This window comes from Homo sapiens, chromosome 1 (genome assembly GCF_000001405.40).
Source record: "Homo sapiens chromosome 1, GRCh38.p14 Primary Assembly".
In the NCBI taxonomy this organism is placed as follows: domain Eukaryota; kingdom Metazoa; phylum Chordata; class Mammalia; order Primates; family Hominidae; genus Homo; species Homo sapiens.
The window spans coordinates 66,343,958-66,370,712 of record NC_000001.11 but is presented as its reverse complement, the minus strand read 5'-3'; the positions used below and the strand labels follow the sequence as shown (position 1 = coordinate 66,370,712).

The following is a 26,755-nucleotide window of genomic DNA, read 5'->3' as shown; positions in this document are numbered from 1 at the left end:
ATGCTGAGAATGTTTTTGAAAGGTAGCTGCTAGTTATTTATTCCCTAGATCACAGGACGAGAGAGCTGTATGAATCCTGAGAGCACCCAGTAAAGAGCTTTACTGCTGGGCCAATCAGACAGTGTTCAGCAGAGCCCATTGGTGGGAAATACCAGAGTGGATAACGATGTCATGGCAACAGGAAGACCTGTCCCTAAGATGGAGAGTGAAGAGCTTTGGATGAGAGAGCTGCTGTAGTGGACCAAGAGGACAGCTTTGCACCTGACATGCTGGGGAAATATCTACTTTATCTATCTTGCAAGGCTGTTTGGGGATCCAAGTAAGATAATGTATGGAAAATGTGTGAAATGCTCCACAGAACATCATATAAACATAAAACATCACTGCTATTAATAAAAGGGTGTTATTCCTCCTTACTGATTCATATCTTGTTCCACTTAAGCCTTTGGGCTATTCGAATTAACCCTCATTAACAATGTTAACTTGCATTTTTACAGTATATTAGACTTCAGAGCACTTTCACAGATTTCTTTCTTTTTTTTTTTTTTTTTTTTTTTTTTTTGAGATAGAGTCTTGCTCTGTTGCCCAGGCTGGAATGCAGTGGCACAATCTCAGCTCACTGCAACGTCCGCCTCCTGGGTTCAAGCAATTTTCCTGTCTCAGCTTCCCGAGTAGCTGGGACTACAGGCACACACTACCATGCTCGACCAATTTTTTGTGTGTTTTTGGTAGAGACAGGGTTTCACCATGTTGGCCAGGCTGGTTTTGAACTCCTGACCTCAGGTGATCCGTCCACCTCAGCCTCCCAAAGTGCTGGATTACAGGCATGAGCCACTGTGCCCAGCCCTTTCACAGATTTTTTAAACTCATTTAGTTGGGTTTCTCTAAGAAGCAACAAAATAAATATTGCAAAGGAACTGTATATTAATATTACAAGTATATGCAAATTTGGAGTATCCAGGTAGTAGGGAAAGAGGATAAATACTGAAAATAAACAATCCAAATGTTTTTGGGATAAAGATCTTGGACAGTCTATGAACTCATTCTCAATCTCAGCTACTTGGCTCAGCCCATTCGTTTTCTTGAAAAATCTTTGTATGGATACTGATACTTTCCATTGCTGCATATTCTGCAGCTATTGGCATCTGGACATTTCTGTATTCACCCCTCCAGACTATTGTCCCCTGTCCTGAGCACACACAGAATGTGTTGCTTTGGACACAACCAGAAAATGTCAGCATGTTCTCAAAAGCATAGAAGCATCCTTGGGAGGGAAGACAAGACAGGGCTTTGACTATGCAGTAAAAGAGACTGCCTCTGGTGATGGTCACCGTGGGCTTGATTAAGGACAGAAGATAAAAACAGAGGGCTGGAAGCAAGGATGAGGAGTAGAGTTCTTGAATGAAGACAGAGCTAGGAGAAATCCAGAGGGTTGGGATGGAGGAGACACTGATGTTCATATTATTCAGCTGGATTTGCTAACATCAGAGACAACTATCTAAATGATTTAGGGACACATAGTCCAAATTTTGATGGGTTTCTGATGACTACTTTTCCCCACCCTGTGAAACTGAGTGTAATGGAGAAGTCGCATGAGTCCTGACTATAATGGAACAAAATGCGTAGTTGTCTCCTTATTGTTTCATATATACATATTCTATTGGAAAAACGGAATTAAATAGAACCCTCCAGCTCTATAATCAGCAGAGCTCACAAAAACTTTGAAAATCTCATATTAGATACCTGGGATTTTTCCACAGAAGCTGTGTGTTTATCACACATTGGGCTAATTTCCATTCCCCTCTCCCGCTCTTTGTCTCCCTGCTGGAAAAATTCCTCCATGATGCGGTCTGTCCATTGCCGATACAATTCCAAGGACTTGGTGGGGTTGCTCAGGTCTGCACAGTGTACCATGTTGCGAAGGACCTGAAATCATCAAGTTTTGGAAATCTCATAAAATTAGGTGTAAATACTGCCGGAACATCTCATGCCTCTCATACTAGTACGCTTGGTACTAAACCCGAGAACATTTTAGTTGCATTATAATTATGACATATGCACCGAAAAAAAATGGAATTACAATGATGCTAGCCTGGGTCAGTTATTTACTTTTATAGAGTCCCAAAGGGGAAAACGTGTGTCTTCTTAGACCGACAGTCATTGAATTTAAAAATTGGAAGGAACATTAGAGGTCAGATGCTGCTATCATTTCCTTTTCTCAGTTTGGAAAGAATGCAAAGAATTACTCAAAGTAGATAACTTCATATTTTCCACTTGTGGAAAGAGGAGAACAGCTGATGGCAATTTGTATATCCAAAACAGACCTAACAAACTTCAAGTCAATGGGATTTAAATCCAAACACAAGCTTTTGGAACCAACAGTCACGTATGCCCTATTACAAATAGATTTTGCGATTTATTTATATAACTAATAAGCAGTTCCACAAATAGAGATTATTTTTCCTCATAAATTAGAAGATAAACTTGAATGTCCATTTTCCTTAGCTTGTTCTTAAAATAAGCCCTAAGCTATAGGAGTAGCCTAGGATATACCAATAACTGAATTTATCTTTGTTTTCTTTTTCTAATTGTTGTTCAGCTTAGTTTGGTTTGGTTTTGTGTTAAATCAAAGACTTTCCTCAAATACCTGAATGCGATCGGTATAGTTGTCTAGGAGAAGAACGCCTGAACTTGTAACTTTCTTCGTTTCTACCATTGTCTTCAGGTCTGCCAGCAGGCTCATATGTTTAGACATATCAGTTGCTAACACCTTGGGTAAAAAGAAAATGAAAACTCTTAATAAATTCAGTCTATCAGAGAGAATGGCAGTAAGTGAGGAATGTAGAGAGGCTAAAGTCTTACCATGTCAATAACCATCTTCCTGAGTGTCTGACGCTGCTTCTTGGTGAGATTCATGAAGATGTCACAGTGTTCTTCTTGCAGCAGTTTGAAACCCACAGCAAGGTGATGATTTTCCAACACAGATTCATCATTATACATCAAAGCAAGTTCTGAATCTAATAAATCAGACCAAATGATGACTTAATTAAAAAGGGATATGATTTGAATGTTGGCATTATCTCAAAGTGAAATCAGACCTAGTTCTCTCCAAATTATTTCAAGAACCACCAGCTACATGTCATTTCCTCTTAGAGAAGCAGTGGCCCTCTACAAACAGAAGTCATCAGTTTCTAAGCAAAAAATGCTTCTACTGGTGTATAAGCTTTCCCTGTGATTAAAATTCATTGTATTTTAAAATCCTTTTACTCCTTCTATATCTCAGATGAAGAATTTAATATTAGGTAAGGGCATTCCTGAGCAGCTAAATCCTATTTTTATGTATCTTCAAAAATTTTGTACTTTGGAAAAGAACAACATGAAAGTACCACTAAACTTTATGAATTGTATTGAGACTTTCAAGCTATATTCACATTTTACATTCTCCCTAATCTCCGGCAATTGTGAATTTTGGATGGTTAAAGATAATGCTTGATGTAAAACTTCATTTTACCCAAATACTGTCACTTTTTAGAGCTTTCTATTAATATGATACTAAACATTACTACTTTTTGGGAACAATTCTGATGTCAAATTTTCTGTCTTTTGGCTCTCTCCACCAGAAATTGCAATATCTGGAAACCTAAGCTGCAGCTTCCAGCCTGCCTTTTATATAGAAGAATCACAGGCATCTTTTGTTAGACAGAAGTCTGCTTGAGAATATGGTCATCAGACTTATGAAACCACATTTTCTCTTAATCAAGAATACCAGACAAGTGGTGGTAATGTGTTACTTAATTACAGGTTCTGTTACACATATATCATTGCTTTAACAGTGTGCTCTTAGTTACAACCTCCAATGAGTACTCTTGTTTTGTTCATCCTGTGATCAAGGCCACAGATCTACAAGCAGGCTTTATATGTTGCAGTGCTATAGGTGACTGTGGTAGATAGACCATTTTTCTGTGTGAGGCTAACTGGCCTATATATGATTCATGACACCACATTCTACCAACTGATACAATCCATGCAGACATGTAGCTGCCCCAACATTTTGTTTGTTCAACAGAAGAATGAAGTAAAAGGACCCAGTGTACTCCAAACCTAGGTCATTCAGATATTCTTTGGATAAAGGTCAAGGACTGATGATCAGGACTCTTTTACAGCAAGTAGCTCAAAAAGCATTTCTAGAAAACTGTCAGTACTTGATGTTATTCATGACTACAATAACCAATATTCTCAAAGTACTTAGATTTCCAGCACTTAGAGATAGTACATTATTTGAGAAAATGAATGGATTTTCAAAGGTATGAAAACTAAACATTTTAAGCATGACAAAAGCTTTGAGTATGGCTTGGAATCCTAAGGCTAGACCACCCCTGGTCACTCAGGTCATTGCTACTCCCAATCCATAATCAAATCTATGCAGTTGGAAGAAAATGTATGGAACTTTTAATGACCCTTCCTTCTGAACTGTGGAAACTCATTCCAGTGCTTTTTATGGCATCTTATTTTTACCTGGAGGTTCCCATGTGCAGATTCAACATTTGTGGCTGCTTCCCAAGCAGATAGGGACAGTAGTGAGTTACTATGCTCTGTGCGAGAGTTTTGCATAATATAAAAAGTCATTATCATGGGATCCCCAAACCTTTTATTGTTCTTTATGAATAATTCCATATCTATTATTCTTTCCTTACATATTGTATTTGCCAAATTTTGAGTACTTTTTATGGCTCCCCTATGACCCTCTCCAAGTTCTCCATGCAGCTCAAACATTGTGTTGCCAGATTGGACTGAGTATCCACGAAAGGCCTGACCAGTTTGAGAGAAATGGAAGGATTGCCTCATTATTATCCTTGTGATTATCCATAATGAAAACATTAGGAGGAAAAAAATTAAGCAGTGAATCATACAATTATCTGGAATGACTGCTGTAGTGGTGAACTCACTTGTGTTGATGAGAAACTGATTGGAGACTCCAGGATGATCAACGTCATGGATGGCAGCTGCAAAAATGGCAGCCAGGATCTCCAAATCTGTGAAGACAGCCTGTCGGGCAAATAAACACATTTAACTACACATCCAATTCGCCTATCCTGCTTATTCAGTTTCATTTGTAAAGTATCCTACTTTATTCTTGTTGGGAGAGGGATTGTTGATTTATGTAATATCTCAATATACTAATTTAAGTAAATGTAGATTCTGTTCATCATCATAAAGTCTCTGATGTGAAAGGGATGATGGCCAGAGCTCAATCTCACATCAAGCCTAAAGGCTGATGCTTGGAAAGATATTAGCACAAATCTCATGGAGTGTGTAAACGTCTAATGTTTGTTTCTTGGACCAGTGATGTGGCAGCATGGTGCTTATGTAACACAAGCAGATACAAGTCAAAGAAGCAAGTCAGACTGGCTCTGCTCTGAGACATAACAACCTTCATATACTCTTAGCTGAATAACTTAGAGAAAAATGGCCAAACTCCCGATTCATAAGATAAGCAATAAATTATTTCCCAAAGCTAAATTTATGGTGTGGTCACAAGCTTTCAGATATTATTCATTCATTCAGTACGTACCCACTAATCACTTACTAGGGGAAGATTTGAGAACCTTTCTAAGAAGTGAAACCTGAGGCCCCACTGCTGAATTCCTTCATGTCATGTCATGAATGCTTCTCTGCCCCCACCCATGCACAATGATTCAAACCTAGTATTAATAAGGTATATACTGGTGCTCATTCTAGAGCTGAAATGTCTTTCCTCATCCTCTGTGATTAGTTAAATCTTCTGGTCCTTCAAATGCCAGCTTGAGGTGGGTTTCCACCTCTCCTATAAAGACCAATCACATTACCCAAGCACTCATTGAGCTCTCCCTTTTCTAAAAAGTTTGCAGCACTCATCATTGTCAATTTCTGGCCACACAGCAGGTATACTATTAATAACAGTGAGCAGTTGATAGATAGTGTTGCCTCACTCTATGATACTTACACAGGGTATAAAAACAGTACTCTTTCTCTCCTTCAGAGGGATCAAACACCCTTAGCTCCATCTCACTTTCTCAAGATTTCTTGGATTTCTTTTCTTAGAAAATATGCAACACAAGCAATAGAGTTGCCACAAAAAAGTTGTGGCCAATCTTTTTTCACCTTCCAAACTGAATCTGTAAAGGTGAGGCTGGACAGGGCATGGCCAGTCTCTTCCTGCAGTGGTCCAGCACATTTTGGGAGTACTTGACCATCATTTTCATTTGTCAAGTAAGAGTATGACCTGCTGTACACATTGTTGATGATATCGGTATACACAAATGCATTAATCTATGAAGGAAGGGAGCCACGGCCACCTTCTCAGAGTTGGTATGGCAAATATGAATATTGTTTCTCCTTGTTTCAGCATCATTAATTCTTCTGTTCTAGATTTTTAGTTACTACTTCTTCAACACATTGCATCAGTTTTATAATTTTTTAGGAGACTAAGCCTCTGGATGCTTATTACTAATAAGAAATATAGAGAGTATTTTATATTTCTGTGATATCCCCCTTGGAATATAGTGCTCTATATATACCTAGGGTGGCATTGGGCAGTTCAGATAAGTAATTGCATATTGAGAATATACTATTTACCGGACACTGAACAAGATATTTTGAGATACACTGCATCCCTTAGTAGAAATACAATGAAGAATAAGACATGATTCCTGCCCTGAAATTCTGTTAATTGCTTTACAGTTAAATACTTTTAATAGTAAGAGATGTAAAGGGAAGGTTACTCTGATATTAGAAAGCAAAACAAGTAGAAATGTCATTCATTTTTTATAAATAGCTCAGTTAATGGATGTGATACATTTTATAAAGAACCTGTTCAAGTATGCAGGGTGGTCTAATTACATTAATTTTGTAAGTATATTGTATATTGTAAGGCACTTTTTAAATTTTTTTTATTTTTATTTTTTTAGAGACAGGGTTGCCCAAGCGGGAGTCCAGGGGAGCAATCATAGCTCACTGTAACCTTGAACCCCTGGGCTCAAGCAATCCTCCCAACTCAGCCTCCCGAGTAGCTAGGACTACAGGCACATGCTACTACATCCAGCTGATATGGCATTTTTGAAGGAGGATGGGCAGGAATGCAAAACAGGTCATAATTACTCACGTCTAATGCTGGTGTAGAAAGGAGAACATGGGTCGACTGGGCTACATCAGCAGCGTGCAGGCTGTTGTGATATGCCACGTCAGAATGGTAATGGTCTTCTAAAGTCATCATGTAGGTTATAAATGTGTCAGATGAGATTCTGAATGTCTTTAGGAGGTCTCTTTCCTGTGTTGTAAAATGGATTAGAACATAAATAAGTAGATGTCCAAAAGTCGAGGAAAGTTAAATCAGAAAAGTAAGATGGAAAAAAAAAATCATAAAGAGCCATCCAATTGGAAAGCCAGTATTCACTCCTGTTCACTCACCTGGAATATAGCATACATGATGCATGTTAGGGGTCTATTGTGAGAATATCCAGCCACATTAAAGATGTTAAGACCCCATTTGTTCAGGTCTTCCAGCTCCTATAATTAAAAATTTAAAGGAATTTAGGAATAAGGAAAGTTGTGCTAACATGCCTCATTTTTTTAATTTATTTTTTGGACATTGGCTGTTTAAGTCTTTAGAGTGTCTCCTTAGAGTGCTTTAGTTGTGTGAAAATCTGAAAGTTAAATGACCTAGGAGGTCGGGTGTCCTCTTCATGATAGCTACAAGTTTCTGAACATTTTTTATTCTGAAAAGGGAAAGTATCTATTTATAAATTTAGTTGCTGACCTATATTGGACATGCATCAGTCTTCAACCAATGTTGCTTTCAAAGGTGGCCACAAGTGAATAGAGATCACTCTAGTTCAATGTCCCTGTCTCTCCCCTTGCTGCTTACTGGCCCATTAGTGACAGCTGGAAAACAGTCTCAGGGAAAACTCCTCTGCCCTTTGGTTATCATCACTGAAGGCCAGATCAGGAAGACTCAGCTATCAGAATGTGCATAAGTCAACCCAATTGAATGTAAAAGGTCATGAAGAATGCCAGTCATGAATTACATCCTAGGGCTCCTGGGCCACAGACGGACCTGGAAGAAACATCACTCAGGCCTGTGTTGTGAGATTATTCCAAGGTTATCTGATTTAAGGACCAATTTATTTCATTCTTAGTAACTATCCAGAGTAAGAGATCCAGGCTCTCCACCACGACTTGGCCTAATGTTTAATCAACCTTCCTCTAATGACAGCTTTCAGAAGGTCTTACTGCTCACAGTAAGCTCATTTCATATTCTCACAAGGCTGAGAGGACCTCAGCAGTCACTTTGTGTGGCCTCCTAAAGGATGTATGAATTCTTTCTATGCCTCCCTCCACTACTGGAGTTTGGGCTCCAGAGTCAGTGCTGTCAGTTTCTCTTTATTTCTTTTCCAGCACTACAGATTAGTGCAGATTTTCCCATTGGTCCTTGGCATACAGTCCCTGAAATGTCCTCTGGGATAATTCAGACCTGCCTATTGACCTTTCCTTGGATTTTCCCCATGTCTCTTCAGAAGGATTCTTCATTCATAATGAACTGTCCATAAAAACCTAACTCAGGACAAAACAAAAAAAAGTGGTTCTTTGGTATGGAAAAAGGATCTTCCATCAGATGCCCCAACAATGGCATTCTTAATGGCTACCCAGCATAAGAGATCCAGGCTATCCCCCAAGACTTGGTCTCATGTTCAATCAACCTTCCTCAAATGACAGCTTTCAGAAGGCCTTACTGCTCACAGTAAAGTCATTTCATATGAGCTTCCCTAACACAAAATGTAATAATAATGCAAAAGCAATCCATACTATTTTCTAAAAGGTATACGGTCATCCGTCTGCTGTAAAGCAGAGAGCTACATGCACAAAACCTGAGCTTATACACACCTTGGCCAGGTGATCTTCATTTTCAGTGTTGACTCCAAAGCGTGAGATGCTTGTATTGTTTAGGCTTGAACTATGCATTAATTTCTTCACTCCACTTATCTGGGTCATGAGCTGCTGCTTTTTCTTTTTCTCCCTGTCTTTCTGGGTAGGAGATGGGATCTCCACATCATTCTGCTTGTCTGCAACAGACAAAGGAATATGTTTTTCAGCACATGTGTCTATGAGAATCCACTGCAATATTCAAAACAACTCTAACCATCTATAACAGCTTTAGAATCTTATAAAATAAAATCTTGTAGCACTATTTCACTGTATCTCTAGGGCAGTTCTATAAAGTAAGTGGGGAAAATATAAAATTTGTTGAGAAAAATAAGATTTGTTGTTCCATGTTATTGCTAGGCAAATTAAGGCCCAGAGGAACGAAGTAACTTGTCCAGAAAGCAGCAAAAATAGGACCCAAGACCAAATCTTCTGTTTTCAGTGTAATTTAGGGGTATATAAGGAGTGTATAAGGAGTACACACTTATACATTTGCAATGTGGGGCACTAATACTTATATGTAGATTTTTAAATAAAGGGATTAACATATTTTTGTATAATAAAATGTCCATCAGATTAATAAAAACAGGCTTCATGATCTGCTCATCTTATTTTTACTTAAAAAAAATTTAAAAATCCATATGGCTTTAGCAAGGGCTCAGTTTAAATAAGCAGTATATATGTTAGAAATATAAATGGTTCATAATCCTCAAACAATTACTTTAAGGGCTTGGTTTATTACCATTTGAGGTTTAGAGGAAGACTATAATTTTGGTTTTATTTCATGCCTGGAGTCTATTAATTCTACCAATAAATAATAACAATAAGGCCTCTTGTTTGTAATAAGCATTACACTTATTAACATGTTTAAGGTTATTAAATATTTATGATACTTCATAATATTTTTTAAAATTATGTTACAACAAGGTAACAGCAGAGCTAGGATTAGTGAAAAAAAAAGTGCCTACCTGCTTATAGAAGCTCTTTCCTTTACATTGTGCTATTAAAAATATCAGCCATCAAATATTCCATTTCACTTCACAGGGAGATGTATCTTCAGTACTTCTGAAAAAAATGCATTAACTCTTTCAGGCCACAGGGATGCTGGTGGGTGCACAGAGGCAATTATTAAATTGCATAAAAACTACTTTATTGAACTAAATGACACCCTGTGGCTGAAAGAGTTAATGCAGCTTTCAAAAGTACCTACATTTACCTCCGCTGGTTACAGTGAAAATTAGTAGGAAGACAACTTTGCCATTTGAAAATGACATGCTCCCAGATGGCATTCTGGGATCTAGACGATTTGTTTTGACTCTTGCAGATAATGGCACAGTCACATGTTTTCCCCAGAGACCTCTGGCTGCTCATAGGCCCCTGTGGACACTTCATCAGAGCAAAGCAAGCACAGTGAGACAGTACTGGCTTCGTGGTATACCTCACCTGCTCTCTGTGGGACTGAAGCAAGGGAATTATCCATCCCTAACATATCAGTATTGTCTCTAGGTGTCCACAAGCTCCTACACTCACAAGCCTATGACTTTTGCTTAGGAAGGAATTTTAGTGGTCATCTCAATTAGTTTAGGGGTTTCCAACCTAGTCCAGCATCAGAAGCACCCAGGAAACTTCAGAAAAATACAGATTTTTCTGAATAAGCCCCACCCAATCCTACTGAATCAGTATTTTTTTTAAAAGATTCCCAAGTGACTTGGATAATCAGAGCCAGGTTTAAGAACCAATAACAATCCCACACTCTCATTTTTCAGATGAAGTCAGCAACTTGCCCAAGCTCAGAGGGCAATTTATTTAACAGATATTTATTTTGCAATTACTTTGCTCCAGACACAGTGATTTAGTAGCATAGAACCCAGGCCTTGAGGTTCCTGTCAAAAATCTTTTTCCTGCCACACAATCTCTGGCATAAAACCTATATATTATATTAGTTTGAAATTACTTTTCTCCCTGTCACTTTACTCCTAATAACTACTACTTTTTGCTAAAATGAAAGGCTACCATAGGGCCTGCCTTTTTACCACCATTCTTCACCTCCGGTTAAAGAGGCTCTTAGATTCTCCTGTGTCACTGCACATATAACCATTTCTAGTAGGACCAGCAGCCTTTTCCCTTTGTTTAATTAAAGATTCCCTGCAACAGTGAGTAATTGAGCTGAACCACTACTGTGTCTGGAACACTGCAATAATGAAGAAGACCATTATTCACAAATAGTGCCAATTTGACATTAATGGGTGTTTCCCTATGCAGGCATTGGAACAACTAATAGGTTTCCCTATTCTGAATTTCCTCTATTAAATGCTTAGCCAGCACAGTGTGGAAATAATCAGAAACTCAGACTCAAAAAAATCACAATAAACACTGAGTGAATTTACATTTATGGAATAGTCAGAATACAGTGAGCAAACAGTTGGCCTGTATAAAACAAACAAAAAGCGGATAAAAAAGTAGTCTCATCCAAATTCTGTTAATGGCATAATTTGAGGCTCATGTCTTGCTAGATCACACTTTTCAATTATGCAAAATTCCTAAGCTCTTTTCCTTGCATCTTGAAAATTCTAAGTTCTAGGTTTTGAGAGGGTAAGTAGAGGATTTAAAAGGATAACTTTTCTCTGTTCATGAAAATATTAACTAAATTGTAATATAACATGTAAAAATCTTGCATTATTTATTCTCCTTCTCCCTAGGTCCTGCTTTGTTTCCCTTGAAATTAGACACTTCTATTTCCCCTTGCACCAGCAACCTGGAGCCCATTATGTGACAGCATCAATGAGTGCCTGGACTGGTAAATATAGTCTACTGCCTGCCTTTCTCCCTGTCCTCCTGCACCACTTTTTTTTAAAAGATAGGAATGACACAAGTTTCACCTATCTCTGGATTAAGGGATTTCCCTCCTCCCTGGATGACACATTTTTAACATTTAATGGCTTTTATTGAAATATTGCTCTTCAAGTTTAAGGTAAATTGCTAAGATCTTCTTATTTTGTGCTCACTGAGGTGGTTGCCATGGTCTTACAGGAACCTTTTATATTATTAGAAACTGTTAATACTTTTTTTTTTTTTTTTTTGAGACAGAGTTTTGCTCTTCTCGCCCAGGCTGGAGTGCAATGGTGTGATCTTGGCTCACTGCAACCTCCATCTCCTGGATTCAAGTGATTCTCCTGCCTCAGCCTCCCCAGTAGCTGGGACCACAGGCATGTACCACCATGCCCAGCTATTTTTGTATTTTTAGTAGAGACAGGGTTTCACCATGTTGACCAGGCTGGTCTCGAACTCCTGACCTCAGGTGATCTGCCCATCTCGGCCTCTGAACGTGCTGGGATTACAGGCATGAGCTGCCACGCCCGGCCTGTTAATAAACATTTTATTTTTAGCTCCAACAATCCTGATTCCTAAAGACTTGTTTCCAAAATGATATATGTATCAGTTAAGAGTCCTTATGTGATTTTCTTCTATATGTTCTGCGTTCCTAACAGCCTTCTTTCCTCGTTAAAGGATTGACAGGGTATTTAGGTCTAGATGCCAAGAAAGCCAAGTCCTAGTTCTGGCTGAGGAAAGTATTAGCCAAGCGATCTTGGTCAAGTTACCTCATCCCTCTGGGTCCCCTGTTTTCTCTCCTATAAAATGAGGGAATTGGACTACAAGGTTTTATGGTCCCATGCAGATCAGAAAGTTTATGAAGAAGGCTTTATGGTCTTCCAGGAACATTCATCATGCTCACAGGATAAGACTAAGAGTTCCATGCCCTTCACTGGCAGTCTGGAAACAAACTTCGTTTATTTGTTTTTTGAGATTGTCAGATTACAAGCCTAGGGTTCACCACAGAGAATCTAGATGGCCAGGTATGTCTTAGCAAAACTGATAAACTCAGTTCATATCAGAGTTATAGTAAGTTAGAGTTGGAAGGGATTTGAGATGTCATCTATACCAGTGTTCCCATTTTACAAGTGAGGCAACTGATGCATCTTTTGTTAATATTACAGGTTTTTTTCTTCCTATATTTTCTCAAGAACATTTAAAATTCTAATCTGCCCGTCTAGTCTGTTTGATGGGGTTTACCACATCCACCCTCAAACACATACACCCACTGACACACACCACCCTCTTAATGCTAAGAGTCTATAAGGATTGAGATTCTAATAACCTTCCTCAACAATTTGTTCTTGAATTTAATTTTTGGAACAATGAGAAGACAAATGACTGGTTTTGCTCAAGAGATATGCCTAAATAGCAAGCAGAATAGGCAAGAAAGTTGACATCTGCCTCATCTTGAGACAGTGTTGAGACTCAGCGCTCATATTTAGCATCTTTTTAAATTTTTCTTTTTATTTTTTCCTACTCTGAGGAATGAATCATCTTTATTATCTTATCAGCTTTCTTTCTTGGTAGACTATGGTGATAAAAAAGATTAATTAGTAGACTAAGATATTCTCGTTGTCCTTGATAAGCAGATATTGAAAGAGACTACAAACGAAGAGGACTGCTTAGGTCCAGTCTTGGATGATTAAGGGCTCAGGGACTTCATATAACTTTAACTCCAGTAGTGAGTGTCTCTTCTGAGAAGTCTTCAAGCCCTCGTATTTTAAAATGCAATGCTTATGAAGACAAAAATGGGTTCTTGCAGTTTTGATTTTATTCTCCTCTCCCACAGTCATTAACCTGTAAAATGTCCCTAAAACAGCTCCCAGCTAATGAAAAATCGTTGGGCATTACACAGAGCAGGGTATATCTGAAATGCTCAGCAGAAGATCCCTGTCTTCAAATGGATAAAAGGAGAAGAAAAGGATCAGTATTTAATGCTTTCTGTAAAGTTAGATTCCAGGCACCTCTGGGAGCTAGGATGGATGAAAATTCTTCTCCTTTGTTCTCTGACAAAGGCGTTGCAACTGCAGCTGGAGAAAATCAAGTGCTGCAGACACTCACATACTAGAAACTGTTAGAAAGGCACTTGTTAATCACGTCTGGTGACCATCCACTGCAGAGTAATGCAGTAAGCTCTGTATGAGGCTGCTCAAAGAGAGGGCTGATTGATCTGCTGATAGCAAGAACTGCTTTGGTGTTAGAGAAATAGGATTGATTTTAGAAATAAAACCAGAAAAGGTATTTGTTTCAGTAAGGCATCAAGGAAAATGCTCATTGATTTAATGCCATATGGCTATTCCAAAAAGAAGAGAGGATGCAGTGTTCAGCTGTGAGAATGGGTCGCTTCCCTGGAAAGTGAGGTTTCATAAGCAAGCGTAATTCAGTAGCAATATAAAGTCAACAAAATCAGAATCTAAATGCTATCCATTTACTTTGATGTACAGATTTGCAGATTCTGTAGGACTTCTTAAATCAAAATAGTCCAAATAGGTTCGTTAGACAAAAGTGCCTTTAAGACTGAATTCAAAAATCCCAAATAATCAAATAACACGCATGACAATAGTTGAGGACCATTCATGCAATCTTTTTGGTCAGCAAATCATGTGTTAAATACCAGTAATGTAACAACAGAGAATAATAGATAAAGCATCAGATTGGGAAGAGAACGAGGCTGCTTGCAGAAGATGAAATCCTTCAGATAATATTAAAATTCTCCCCCTTACCATCCATTTTTCTTTAATAAATAACTTAGCAAAGCAATAGTCAAATTATTTCCAAAGCTTATTCTCAAGGACCAAATCACTATAGAATTATTCCTCAACCATATCCCCTACAAAACATCATAGAGGAAACCTTTTGCTCAAAGCTCAGTTATTGGAGGAAGTGAAAGGCTACCATGTCAGAGAAGCTAATGGAGCTGCCTCTAGGGCTTGGGTGATTGGATTTCCCTCATTACTTCAGAGGTCTTAGCAAAGATGGAAGTAGGCAGGCAGACAAGGTGGGGCTGAGGGCCGTTTAAATACAATTAGCCCATAATAACCCTCTGTCTTGGATGGGTATTTTAATTCTTTTTTTTCAAAAACATGATCTTCCTGCTTATTTTTTTTTCTTTTGAAGACTGGCCTTAGTTATTATTTTAAATGGATTTTTCTATGACTCAACTCCATCCCAAATTCACATGAGGATGTCCTTGATAGGTTGTAGAAATTAATTCTGAAAACCCCAGTTATAAAACAGGTTTTTCCCAGTTAATATCTTACCTAAGAAAGTATTTGAAATGTATTCAGACACCTGGTTCCCTGATCGGCTCATCTCTGAGAGGTGTGTCAGCTCCCGGTTCAGCATTCTTTTGAACTGTTTATAAAGAACAAAAATGCATTAACCACTTTAAAAAGAGCAAATGTTCATTTTAAATGTTTCCAACTTTACTGTCCAGGAATCAAGAGGTTGGATGAGCAGATACCATTAGATAAATAATACTGTTTCTACAAAATATATCTCTTCAATTTGAAATTATTCCAACGTCACTTTTGGAAAAGAGGTTTTCTTAAGATTTCTTAGAATTAACATCTGATTACTTTTGAAGATGCAAACATAGGAAAAGGAATTTTAATAGAGGTCAAGATAATTCCACTTGAAACTGTACCTACTTTTAAAAATACATTTGTCTGAAATTACCTCTAAAATATAATTTAATAACCTATTTGGTGAGAGGAGATTATATGTGAAAAGTTCAAGGGAAAAAGAAAAAAAAAGAAGCATCTTTTAAAAAACAGAATTCAGTAAAAAGAACAGGATTAAAACACAGCATAGTACACTTAAATAAAATGTAATATAACATGCTCTTATTTCAAAATAAGAGGTCCCAGTGGGTTAAATGAACACACAAATCAAATTATTACAGATGTCCTGTACTTCACAAAAAAACACACAGAGGTACGTTTCACATTTTATCAAAGACACAGAACACAATCAAATTAACCCACCTTGATGTAACCCCAAGATACAGATAACAAATAATTTGCCTCAGGCATTTTGGAATGCTCTCCTTGCCACAATCCACAAATCCCTTTGAAAGAATTCACAGTTCTGAGAGAGCAATCCCGAAAGGATCAGGAAAGCCCTGCAGATTCAGTGATAAAATAATCAAAACTTAGAAAAGACAAAAACCTCCAAAATGTATGGCATTTCCTAAGCCAAACAAAGCCCATCTTCGCACTCCATTCTTGCAAGAAGCCTATGCTCCCTGCTTATTTCCTGGCAGAAGAGAGTAATGAAATCAGGAATTGCACGAAGGAGCAAGAGCCTGTCCAAATGTATTCAGCTGGCTGGTTTGAAGCACTTATGAATTATGAATAGCCCTGGTGGCCGAAGGGGTTTCCACTCTTCTACATTAGTCCTACTCAGCTGAACTCTGCAAGGAAGAAGAAATTCTTCTTTCCTGAGGAGTTGCCAGACTAGGAAACACAGCCATCTTTTAAAAAGGAGAAGATTAAAATGGAGGAAGCCCCATGAATATTTAAGTAAATCTGAAGTCAGTACCCTCCCCCATTTCAACTAGGTGTTCCTTAACCCTCTCTCTCCACTGCAGACCAGAATTCTGCAGATGCAGCCTCTGCACAAAAATCCAGCCGCTCTAATTGATCAAAGTGATGATGCATTTGATTAATCGATTTTCTGAACATTTAAGCAAACATTTAAAAAAGGTTAGGACCATGGCTGTTTTTAGACTAGGCTGCCAGTACACAAGAATTTTTGTGAACTAGCTTTTTGGAGGATTATTTGTCGCACACACCAAGCGTGTGCCAGTGCATTTAGCCTCTTTTCATAGTAAAATGAATGGGAATGGAATTAATTTATTTTATTTGAAAAGTACTTCCTATGCAGCATGTAAGTTTCTGCCCTCCATCAGCTCATTAATATGCATATTAGATTGCATTCGACAAATGTATTAAACTCTTTTAACCTTTCCATCTAGGATCCAGAGTGTGTTAGGAAATATGAACATTCATTTACTGAAAGAATGGTGAATTGTTTGAGATTTAGTGTTACATCTTCTAACTCACATTAGAAATCTGAGGATTTAAATTAATTTTTATTTTATTTTAGCAATCCAGGGCATGTTGAGAAAGTCATTCCTTCCCTGCAGGTTTCTCTCTCCCTTCTTCCCAGCCCCTCCCTTCTCCTTGTCAGCGTTAAAGCACAGGCAAGGGGAAACACTAGAGCTTTACTGCAGTGGGATTCCCCGCCCCAGGTTCACCCCATTTCCCTCCTCATCTTTCCCCTCTGTTACCCTACCCCTGTACTCCCAGGATTTATTTCATCTATAGCAAGTTGAAGGAATAGCAAAGCACCATGGCAACAGCCCCAACTTGCAATTGGCTCTTTTTCCTGTGAGGCATTCCCCTTTCAAATGAGCATCCGCATCCAACAATAGCTTTATTTCAAGCATCCAAGCCCGGAGTCATGCCATCGCCTGTGCCTAGGAGACCTGGCTTTTGGAGGTGAAGCCAATGCAAGCCAGTATTTCTGCCTGCTGGCTCACTGCACCAGGCATTGTTCTCAAAGATGTCCAATCATCCTCCTTCTGGGTAACCCTGCTTGCGTATGTGTGTGTGTTTCCCATGATACAATATGTTTGTAACCAGGCATCTCTGAATCAATCATCTCAGCTAGCATATTTTACTTATTGAACCTCTGTGCAATTTTGAATCCCAGGTGAATCACATGAATTCCAAATTATTTCGTTTTAAAGACACAACTGCTCAGTCACAATGGCCTCTCATTTTAAATCCTCAAAAGACAGGCACCTAGGCTGAAGACTCAGAAGCTGAAGAAAACAAGTTTATATGCTCTGACCGATAAGCTGAATTTTGGCAAAGAAGTGAACTTTAATTGGATCATTGTAAAAATATGTTGTAAAAAGCTTAGAGACAGATGATTTCTTCCATAATTTTCTCTGCACTAGACTTAGGCAAATATAACATTCAAACAATTGTCTCATTTTGGCTCCTTTAGTCTCTCTGAAATACTTAGGAATGTTTTAGAGTCAATCAGGTTTGTAGTAGTTCAATAATGCCCTTTTTTCACGTATTTGCCAACCATTTATTGAATACCTAAAATGACCAGGGAAAAGAGTGATGATATAGCAGTGAAAAAAAAACAAAGGAACAAACAAAAACTCTTTTCATGCTTTTAATCAGCTTTCATTCTAGTAGGAATAGATATATTAGGGCATGTTGTTTAACCACAACAGCAAACAGTCTAGAGAGGGTAGGACCAGTTCTTTACTAGCTATATCGGCAACTCTGCTCAGAAGATAGGAGCAGGTAGAAACTGAATCATAAAAGGCTATAAGAGGAAAGATTTCTCTGTTTATTTTCTTTCTATAGTCTTCCATTGCCACAGGACCCTGTTGGGATACATTGTCAATCACTTTCAATATGGAATCAGGGAGGTGGCTCTCAGCTGCAGGGCTGAAAATAAACCAAACTCCTCACCTTTCCCGCATAGTTTACTGAAGGGATCAGTGTACTCATGCAAGTCATTAACAGATGAATATCACCTTCCTCCTTCCCAGGCTTAAACTAATTCTCCTATGAGCCTTTTGCTAAGGGCACAGCAATGCTACCAAAAAACATAGTCATCTTAAGGCAACCATAAAACACACAACATGGCGAAGTATGCAAATGGAGGTCACTTAGTGTCAGAAACTAACCTAGTCCTTTAAATGTTGCTTAGCAACAACTGTTGGTTTTCCTCCTCCATAAGGGAGGGCCCAACCACACTGATGTGAAAGCAATCATTGCTCTCATCAAAAAGCACTTATGAAGGGCCCATTTATGTTGGGCTCTGTACAAACTAAGAAAGGCAGACATGGCCTTCAAGGAGCAGACGGCGGGGGGTGGAAGGGTATCTTTTACATTCTAGTATATGTAGAGTCCAGTTAGTATGACTAGTGTTTAACTGTGTGATGAGACACATTAAGAAATAGAATAGATATGAATTATGTTTGAAGTTAAGCCTGAGGAGACAGTTGAGGAGCTAGGCTTAGTTGGGCTTTCAGCATCTGACTCCCACATGGGAGTGTTTCTGTTGAGCCAGAGGCAGCCACAATGTAGTAGACAAATCTTGACTTTTCATTCTCAGCTCTCACTCTCCTGTGTAGTTACATCACCTCTCATGTGTAAAATGAGAATGATCAACCCTAACATTTCATACTTGTATGATAAATTCTGTGGCTGCCTCCTACAGTTTGGACACATTATTTACCAGCAACCAAGACTTCCCAGAAAACAAAACTCCCTCTACATGACTGAGGAAAACAACTCAAATTGAAAATGCTTCAGACCATAACAAAGGAAGGGAAGCATTTATCATCCCTCAGAGTTTCATAGTGTAAGACTTTTGGAATCTATTTATTAAGTTACACGTTTCATCCAGACTCGAAGGTAAAATAGCTCCTGGGTAAAACTGTGTCCCAAGGAGTTACTGGATTGGAAGGAAATGGGCATTATTTACTTTATTAAATTCAGTAGAGAAATCCACAAACAGGAACACATTATTTTAAAGATAAATGTGTCTCTACCATCTCATGTACACAGATACTATTTTCCCTAAGAATCTGCCTTCACAGGAAAACCCTGTTACAGCCTACCTAGAAATAATGTCCCCAGAGGAAATGGCCAATGCCCCTTTTCAACACAGACAAGCAAAATTTGTGAATAAACTCTAATAAAAAATTCCTCCGATGCCTTCTTAAGCTTATGCCCAACATTAGATTCACATACACTGCTAGAAATTGCTTCTATTTTTTGAAAAGGGAAGAAGGTATATTTTCTAGATATGTGATTTAATATTATTGGCCTAGAATATACCTTTTCTATAAAATTGTCTGATTTTTGGAATAAGTTCCTTTAATAGTGAAAAGTTATTTTAAAAGTAGAGAATAGGTAATAAAAGCTAAAATTCAATTACACTTGATAGGAACATTTTGTTTGATGGCTTCAATTTTTCTTTAGTTTTAACACTGCATACAGAGATTATTTCTTCTGAGCCAGTTTCTTCTGAAGTGATAGGACACTTCTTCACTTTTCTATATTTCTCATGGGAGAATTAGTTTGAGCTTTATGCAAAGATCCGCAGGCAAGATAGGCACTATCTTGGTAATGAGTTCTTAGTTAAACTAATCACATAGGAGGAGTGAACTGGAATGATCGCAGGCTCTTCTCAAATCTAAAATTTGGGGATTTTATGTTTTTGAGAATAAAACAGTCCAGAATAGTGATAACACAGGAAGCTAGTATAAAGCCCATGAAAGAGCTTCTTCTAAGACTAATTTAGGCCTGTTGAGGGTGACCTGAAAATCACTTAGGAGTGACTCCTAAGTGATTAAAACTATTCTTCACCCTATCAAAGACTAGCTAAAGCAGGTACCTTCCTCTCATGGATAACCTCAGGATGAGGTCAGTAGGAGAAAACTGTAAGAACAGAGAATAAAAAGGTGTCAAAGAGAGGAAGGCAGCCCCAGCAGTTAGTTACTCTTGTGGGTGGCCGTCTACGCAGGAGCCCAGCTGTGAGACAGGCGCCTTATTGTGTGGGATCTTCCTGTTTTTGCAGAATGAAACAACTGCCGAAGTCATTAAAGTCACAATGACTTTATTAGGGACTAACTTTTGACTCATGTTTTATACTTTGTTAGTCATAACTTAAAAAGAATTCCCGGGCATCAGGAAAGTGAAGGGGCTGAAAATTCCTCCTGAAGGCACAGAATGCCTTCAGTGCATTCTGTGCCTTCAGTGGTAGAAAGAAGTCGAAACTGCAGTGGTACAGTTTAGTGAGAAATGAAGTAAACAGAGTCTGTCCCTGTCTTAGCTCTGGCCCTAAGCAAATATGTAATCTTGGGTAAGCTGAATTAACTTCTTGGGGCTCAGTTTCTTTAGTGGTAAAATGGCTAGCTTCTAATCTTCCTTTTGACTTTCAGGAATTTTGCATGGGAAGAAATGAAGACCCAAAGAAGTAAAGCAAATCTAAGTTTTAAATGAAAAAGAAATAAACAGAATGAGGGATATAGTGTGCTTGTCTAAAACTCCTTATGAAACTAACAATTTCCACAATTCTTAACATTTCAGATTATTTGACAATGTGCATCTCATCTCTTCCCTCCTTTTTGTGTTTCCCTATAAACTCTACCAATCATTTGAAACTTGATGTCCAGTTTCTTTATTGACAGGTTTGTCTTATTTGAAAAGCAAGTGCAATTGAATTGAGTTGGTAACATGGTCAAAGAAGTAATAATGGACATGCAATTGTCCATTAACGTCTGCTTAATCAGCTAGTGTTCCATAATGGGTCATCTTAGCAAACAAGTTCTGCTGTACTAACATCTGCAGCAAACCTTTGGTGTGCCAGGGAACAAACACAGTGAGATCATTCTCACTGTCCATGTGCCAAATCAGAAAGAAACTCTTCTAAACATGTTAGAATTGAGTGCTTCTTGTCTTAACTGCTCAGCAACGTAGTAATCAATAGGTAAGTATACAACGAAAAACAAGCATGAATATATCTACCATTATTCTGCATCAAAAATTATGATGAAGCAACAATAGAATCAATTCTACTTGCTAGTTAGAGGACAAGTCTCTGCTCAAGTGACATATTAAAAGGCAAAGCAGGGAAAAACCATTAATGCCTTCATACAGAATTGAAAAATATCAAAAGATCAAACAAATTTGAATATAGCTGCTCTATAACTAATCTCCTAAATGAGATTAGGGCTTGAACAGCTCCCCAAATTATTACATATTTCTTCCTATCTATCTAACCCTTTTCTGCTGTCCATTTTTCTCAGAATTTCTGAAAACTTCTCAAGAGATGATATAACACACATTATTGGAACACTAAAAAATTGACGTTTCCTAGACCCAAAGTGATTCCCATAAGAATGTTTATAGCAATTTCTCATGATCCAACATTCTCTCAACTCTGAAAGTTGCTGCAGTGATGTAATCAAATGGACAAAAGATACTGTAACTATTTATACCTAAAGACTGATACATTCACTATGCATTTTAAACTATATATATAATATTTATAAACTATATTATGTTTCCACATATATAAGGTTGCCAGATTTAGCAAATAAAAATTCGGGGCACCTAGTTAAATTTGAATTTCAGATAAAGAAGAATTTTCTTTATCTTTTTTTTTTTTTAACTGTAAGTATGGTCCTGATATTGCATGTGCAAATAGCCTATGAAGAGATTGGATTTCCAGGCCATACACTCATTATATATGTTAAGTTTAGGGGCACTGTATATTTTTAGATAATTTAAACTTTTCAAAATTTTCTTTTTGACAGAGGACTTTTCTTCCAATGAGAAACGTAAGACCTAAAACTGTTCCTGGAGCATCACAATTTCATTTCATATACTTGATCCTTCCCTTTTAATTTGTCTGTTAATAGAGAAAGACAAAAAAAGGAACTTTGAAGATTTGAGATGATGATCTGATAATTAAATTTAGCAGAAACCTTTTTCAACAGATGACAAAAATCATCATAGTAACTGAGAAAAATCAAGGAATCAAGGTACATTATTCAGTCACTCTTTTGTTTTTCCTTTTAAGCCTTTCTACAACTTTTTCTGTACAGGTATAACGGCTAATATTTAACTGAAAGCTTCTAGAGTCAATTCTAAGGCCACAGGGCATTAATATGATTCCAAAGTAGATGACAAAGGTTTATTTTGAAACATTTCGCAGCTAGAAGCTCTACAACTTATAGTATTTTTCAGCAATCAGAACACTTACTGTGGATCAGACCCACAGACCATCCAGTCTAGTGTCCTTTCCTGACTAGTGAAAAATAACACCTATGTTTTAGGACCTTCATATCTGACATGAAAGTAGTTACACAGAACAGGGAAACTACCACTCAAATATTATACTTTCTTTTCATAACCCTTACGTATTGGTCATGATTCTCTTTAAGAAGTTAATTCCATTTTCAGTCTATAGTACCTCTTAGGTTGTTTTAAATCCTGCCTTATTGAAGTTTCTAATATTTTTTGCAGCTACAAAAATCTATCATAGCTTGTTTTTGAGATTATTACTCTACCCCTTAAAAATACCATGTAGAATACATTGTATTTATTATTAATTGTATTGATTTCAGCTAGTGACTTTCATACATCCCTTGAGGTAAAAGACAATGGAATGCTTCAAAACCTGCCTTGGGAATTGCCACTTCTAGATTAGCGATTTCTCAGGGCTGGGACAGCCTATTAATCTGGCAATTTTCAAGATCAACTCTAGGGCCTATCAAAAAAATAAAAGAAAGCTTTGGACTACATAGATCTATCCTTTCCTTCCCTGAAAGCATATATATTATTATCTGTTTTGATATTTCAGTAATCCCTAAGCTAGAGTATGCACCGGCAAATTGAGGAAAATTTGTAACAGGTTGGAGGTTTGCACACATAAACTATTAACTAAAACTATAAAAGATGAAAATAGTTTCATAACATAAAATAGACATAAATTTCATAGACAGCTATTTCTTATGCAATTTTATCCTATTAAAAAAGGTAGTTGGGCTTGTTATGTATTTTGTGTTTTCCATTATTAGCTATCATAATTTAGAAGAGATGGAGAGATGCTTTGAACAACAATGCACCTCAAGATGCATAGGTTTGTTAGGTTCACGGAAGGTTTATAGAGGCAGCTTCTACTGCAAACATGAAGTAGAGGGAGTGCTGGTTGCAGGTTTGCCTTACCAGTGACCTCAGCTAACCCAACGTCATAACAGCATGATATAGGAGCATCTGAGGATTCAACTGAGTCCGGAAATAAAATATGACATAGGAGCATCTGAGAATTCAACTGAGTCTGGAAATAAAATATGTACTGTAACTTAGTCTGAGAAACTTAGCAAGTCATTGAGTCTCTTAGAGACTAGAATTTTCTATCTTTGAAATGGGAAGATTAGGAATAACATATGTGAAGTGGCTGCCAAGGTGTCTGAGACCAAGTGTGTGCTCTTTCTTCCACAGGATTTGTACTTGAAGCTAGGTTTTATCTGTAAATTTCAAAATAATCTGAGCTCATGGTACCTTTCTCACTTTGGCTTTGCTTTTGGGTGGAAGTTTCAGTTGGTTCTTTGATACTTGAACACCTTCTTTTCATTGTTGACAGCAGCATATATAATTAATTACAGAATTCCCATAGCATGCTGCTGCAGGTGTGATGCACTACTATGTCACATAGATTATGTGACACATGAGTTACTCATAGAAGTTCAGACTCTCTGGTTGACATTTAGATTATTCACCAGTCTAAGGAGCGTAAACAAGAATTGCCAGAAAGATAGATGAAGCAAGTCAAATGAAAAGCACCATAACTCAAAATGGTCTTATGCTTAAGTTAAACCGTAAAAAAAGAGTCTATTTGGAGAAATCCAGCTGTTGGTAACTATCCATTCATGCTTCTTTGGTTTAGCCAATTTTCTCAAATTAAGACACTTTACAACTTTTTATCTATTGACTAAAAGCTGTGACTGACCACAGACTACCTGACATGAGGATAACTGCACCAAGTATGCATTTTGCTCAGATTTTCACAGTTAAGATCAATGTGGTAACACATATGAATTAATTGAATATGTGGCTCAGGTGAGAGGAGTGTCACCAATATGCCAGGAATGAAAAACATAACCAAATGATGGCAGATAATTAGGCTGCTATTCTCCAACAGATATGGAGAGTGGCTGAATTACAAACACATGTGCTCATAAATAGGCTCCCCAGAGAGTGTGGAATAGCCATTGCTAGTCTCCAAAGGGCTTAGATTCTTGTCCACAGGATGCAGACTTTTTGAGAGAATAGTAAGCCAAATATTGCAAAACTGAACCAAAAGCCAACCGAACAAACAAAAACCCCAACCAAAACCATGCTTCACATTTCTGCTCACAGGAAGAAAGCACTGGTCCCTGACAACTTTGTTCTTTGTTATCTGACTCTGGATGAAAGAGAAGGGTAGGAATAAGCTTTCCCTTTTTTCAGGGTACTTTGGGGGTCATTGGGAACCAGATGAGGGTTTCTCATGCAACCTAACAATTAGAAAGCTGGAATTAGGCATGGCAGGCCCCTACATGTAGCCATTGCCGCACAACAGGAAACAGGATTCCAGGGTTCTAATGGATTTATCACTAACAAATACTTGGTCTTGGACAAATTAGATTAAGTTTCTGAACCTCATGCAATTGATCAAAAAATATTTATTCTAATGCCTACCATGTGTCTACAGCTAGTGTAACTGCTGGGGCTTCACTAGTGAACATGGTAGACACAATTCATGTCTTCAGTAACTTTACAGTCTAATGAAAGATATCAGTAAAAACCAAGTTCCATGATCAAAACCAAAAACCATAAATTGTGATAGTAAATTGCAAAACCAACAAGCAGCTGAATTAGGGTAATAAAAGAAGGTCTTTCTAAGAGGTGATATCTAAACTGAGGTCTGAAAAACAAGACTTCGCTGATTTCTAGCTTTAAAATTCTGTGATGATATGTTTTGTTAACAAGTTATACGAGAATATAATAAATTGTGGATTTCCCTTTAACTTTTATTTTTAACTCAACTTTTGAGCAAAGAGAACAACTTTGCTCAACTTTTGAGCAAAGAGAACAAGATTTGATTCTATGTCTTGACATTTAGTAGGTAAAGGACTTGGACAAATCGGTTATCTTTCCCGAATCTCAGTTTCATATCTGAAAATGGGGATACAATAAGACCTTCCTCAGGGTGAGTGTCATACGAGAACACAGGTAAGAGCGCTGTGTATGCAGGAAGGGATGCTTCAAATATGTTTTATTACCATGCTACATTGGATCTAACAACACAAAAATAAGAAACAGCTATAACTCAAAGAGAATAACGCTATTTAATGCTCTATCCTGGTACCACAGGAAGCTTTGAGAGCACATAAACTTTAAGTGAAGAAATGGGCCTTAGAAATCTCTGCACTGTCTCATAACTAATGTTCCCTCGGGCAGATGCAGAGTTTTCTGGGAAATGAAGTCCTGGATCATGTGATTAGATTTGAAAAGCAGTGATTGGAAATTTCTGAATTTTTCCTAATCTCTATTCCTCCTTTATTAACTTTACGAAAAGGAGCTCATATTTTGCTCATTTTAACCCAATGTATTTAACTTTTTTAAAACAAAGAGAATCTACTCCTACCAAGGAGTTCATACTTTTGTTTATTTTTGACAAAGTTCTTCTATTTTAGCACTGTATTAAAGGCCCTAAAGAGTCTTGAAAAGCAGTATGTGACCTTTCTCAGTTTGCAAATTTTACTATGGCAGACAACATTAGACAATGACTTTATCTTAATACTTTAAATATGTAAAAGAAAAAATATAAATACAAAAGCATTTTTAATTAATTCCAGTAAGTTGAAGCAAATTCTCTGAAATTAAATGATACTGATTTTTAAATATTTAAAAAACAATACTAGCAAATGTTTACAAGATATTCTCAAGGACACTCCCATGCAATGCACAAGAAAGATGCAAATAAACTTTGCACAACCAGTTCCTGAGTGTTAAAATACAGCAGGAAAAAATTCACTGGTAGCTCTCCCTGACAAGAACACAAATAATATACTGAGCCTGGCCAAGAAAAACTACCCATTGCATTAGTAAACATATATGTATCTAAATCATCTGACTCACTTATAGAATGGAGCCAGCAATAGCAATAACAGCAGACAAGGCTACAGGCATTGGGGGGCACTGTGTCCTTTCAGCTTGCTAAATGGGTAGCATCTGGCAGGTTAAATTAATCCTTGTGGATTATGAGTGAGAGATCCAGAGTGGGAGTTGGAGTCCATTTCATTAGTGACCCATTAGAAGGTCCCTAGCTT

General features: G+C 37.6%; 1 protein-coding gene across 12 annotated transcripts in view, besides 4 other annotated features; it reads right to left on the bottom strand.

Moving 5' to 3' along the window:
* The window catches only part of PDE4B (phosphodiesterase 4B), a 582,070-nt gene that overhangs the window by 3,867 nt on the left and 551,448 nt on the right, over positions 1 to 26,755 (bottom strand). For 11 of the 12 annotated variants that reach the window (NM_001037341.2, NM_001297440.2, NM_002600.4 and 8 more), the window contains 8 exons: positions 15,093 to 15,186; positions 8,920 to 9,098; positions 7,447 to 7,545; positions 7,142 to 7,306; positions 4,947 to 5,046; positions 2,863 to 3,017; positions 2,648 to 2,770; positions 1,744 to 1,926 (listed from right to left, as the gene is read on the bottom strand). In NM_001037341.2, coding sequence (NP_001032418.1) covers positions 1,744 to 1,926; positions 2,648 to 2,770; positions 2,863 to 3,017; positions 4,947 to 5,046; positions 7,142 to 7,306; positions 7,447 to 7,545; positions 8,920 to 9,098; positions 15,093 to 15,186 — 1,098 coding nt within the window. Of the gene's footprint in view, positions 1 to 1,743; positions 1,927 to 2,647; positions 2,771 to 2,862; positions 3,018 to 4,946; positions 5,047 to 7,141; positions 7,307 to 7,446; positions 7,546 to 8,919; positions 9,099 to 15,092; positions 15,187 to 15,818; positions 16,179 to 26,755 lie in introns of those variants that run through there. The other variant, NM_001297442.2, reaches the window with a different exon arrangement.
* Positions 15,627 to 16,127: an enhancer, noted in NCBI's record as "NANOG-H3K27ac hESC enhancer chr1:66820269-66820769 (GRCh37/hg19 assembly coordinates)". NCBI's record gives its function as "activates a minimal SCP1, AML or CMV promoter by ChIP-STARR-seq in naive H9 embryonic stem cells {active_cell/tissue: H9 hESC(naive)}" and the evidence as "EXISTENCE:reporter gene assay evidence [ECO:0000049][PMID:30033119]".
* Positions 18,693 to 18,742: an enhancer, noted in NCBI's record as "active region_1155". NCBI's record gives its function as "activates an Ori minimal core promoter by ATAC-STARR-seq in GM12878 lymphoblastoid cells {active_cell/tissue: GM12878}" and the evidence as "EXISTENCE:reporter gene assay evidence [ECO:0000049][PMID:35858748]".
* Positions 18,753 to 18,842: an enhancer, noted in NCBI's record as "active region_1154". NCBI's record gives its function as "activates an Ori minimal core promoter by ATAC-STARR-seq in GM12878 lymphoblastoid cells {active_cell/tissue: GM12878}" and the evidence as "EXISTENCE:reporter gene assay evidence [ECO:0000049][PMID:35858748]".
* Positions 20,435 to 20,484: an enhancer, noted in NCBI's record as "active region_1153". NCBI's record gives its function as "activates an Ori minimal core promoter by ATAC-STARR-seq in GM12878 lymphoblastoid cells {active_cell/tissue: GM12878}" and the evidence as "EXISTENCE:reporter gene assay evidence [ECO:0000049][PMID:35858748]".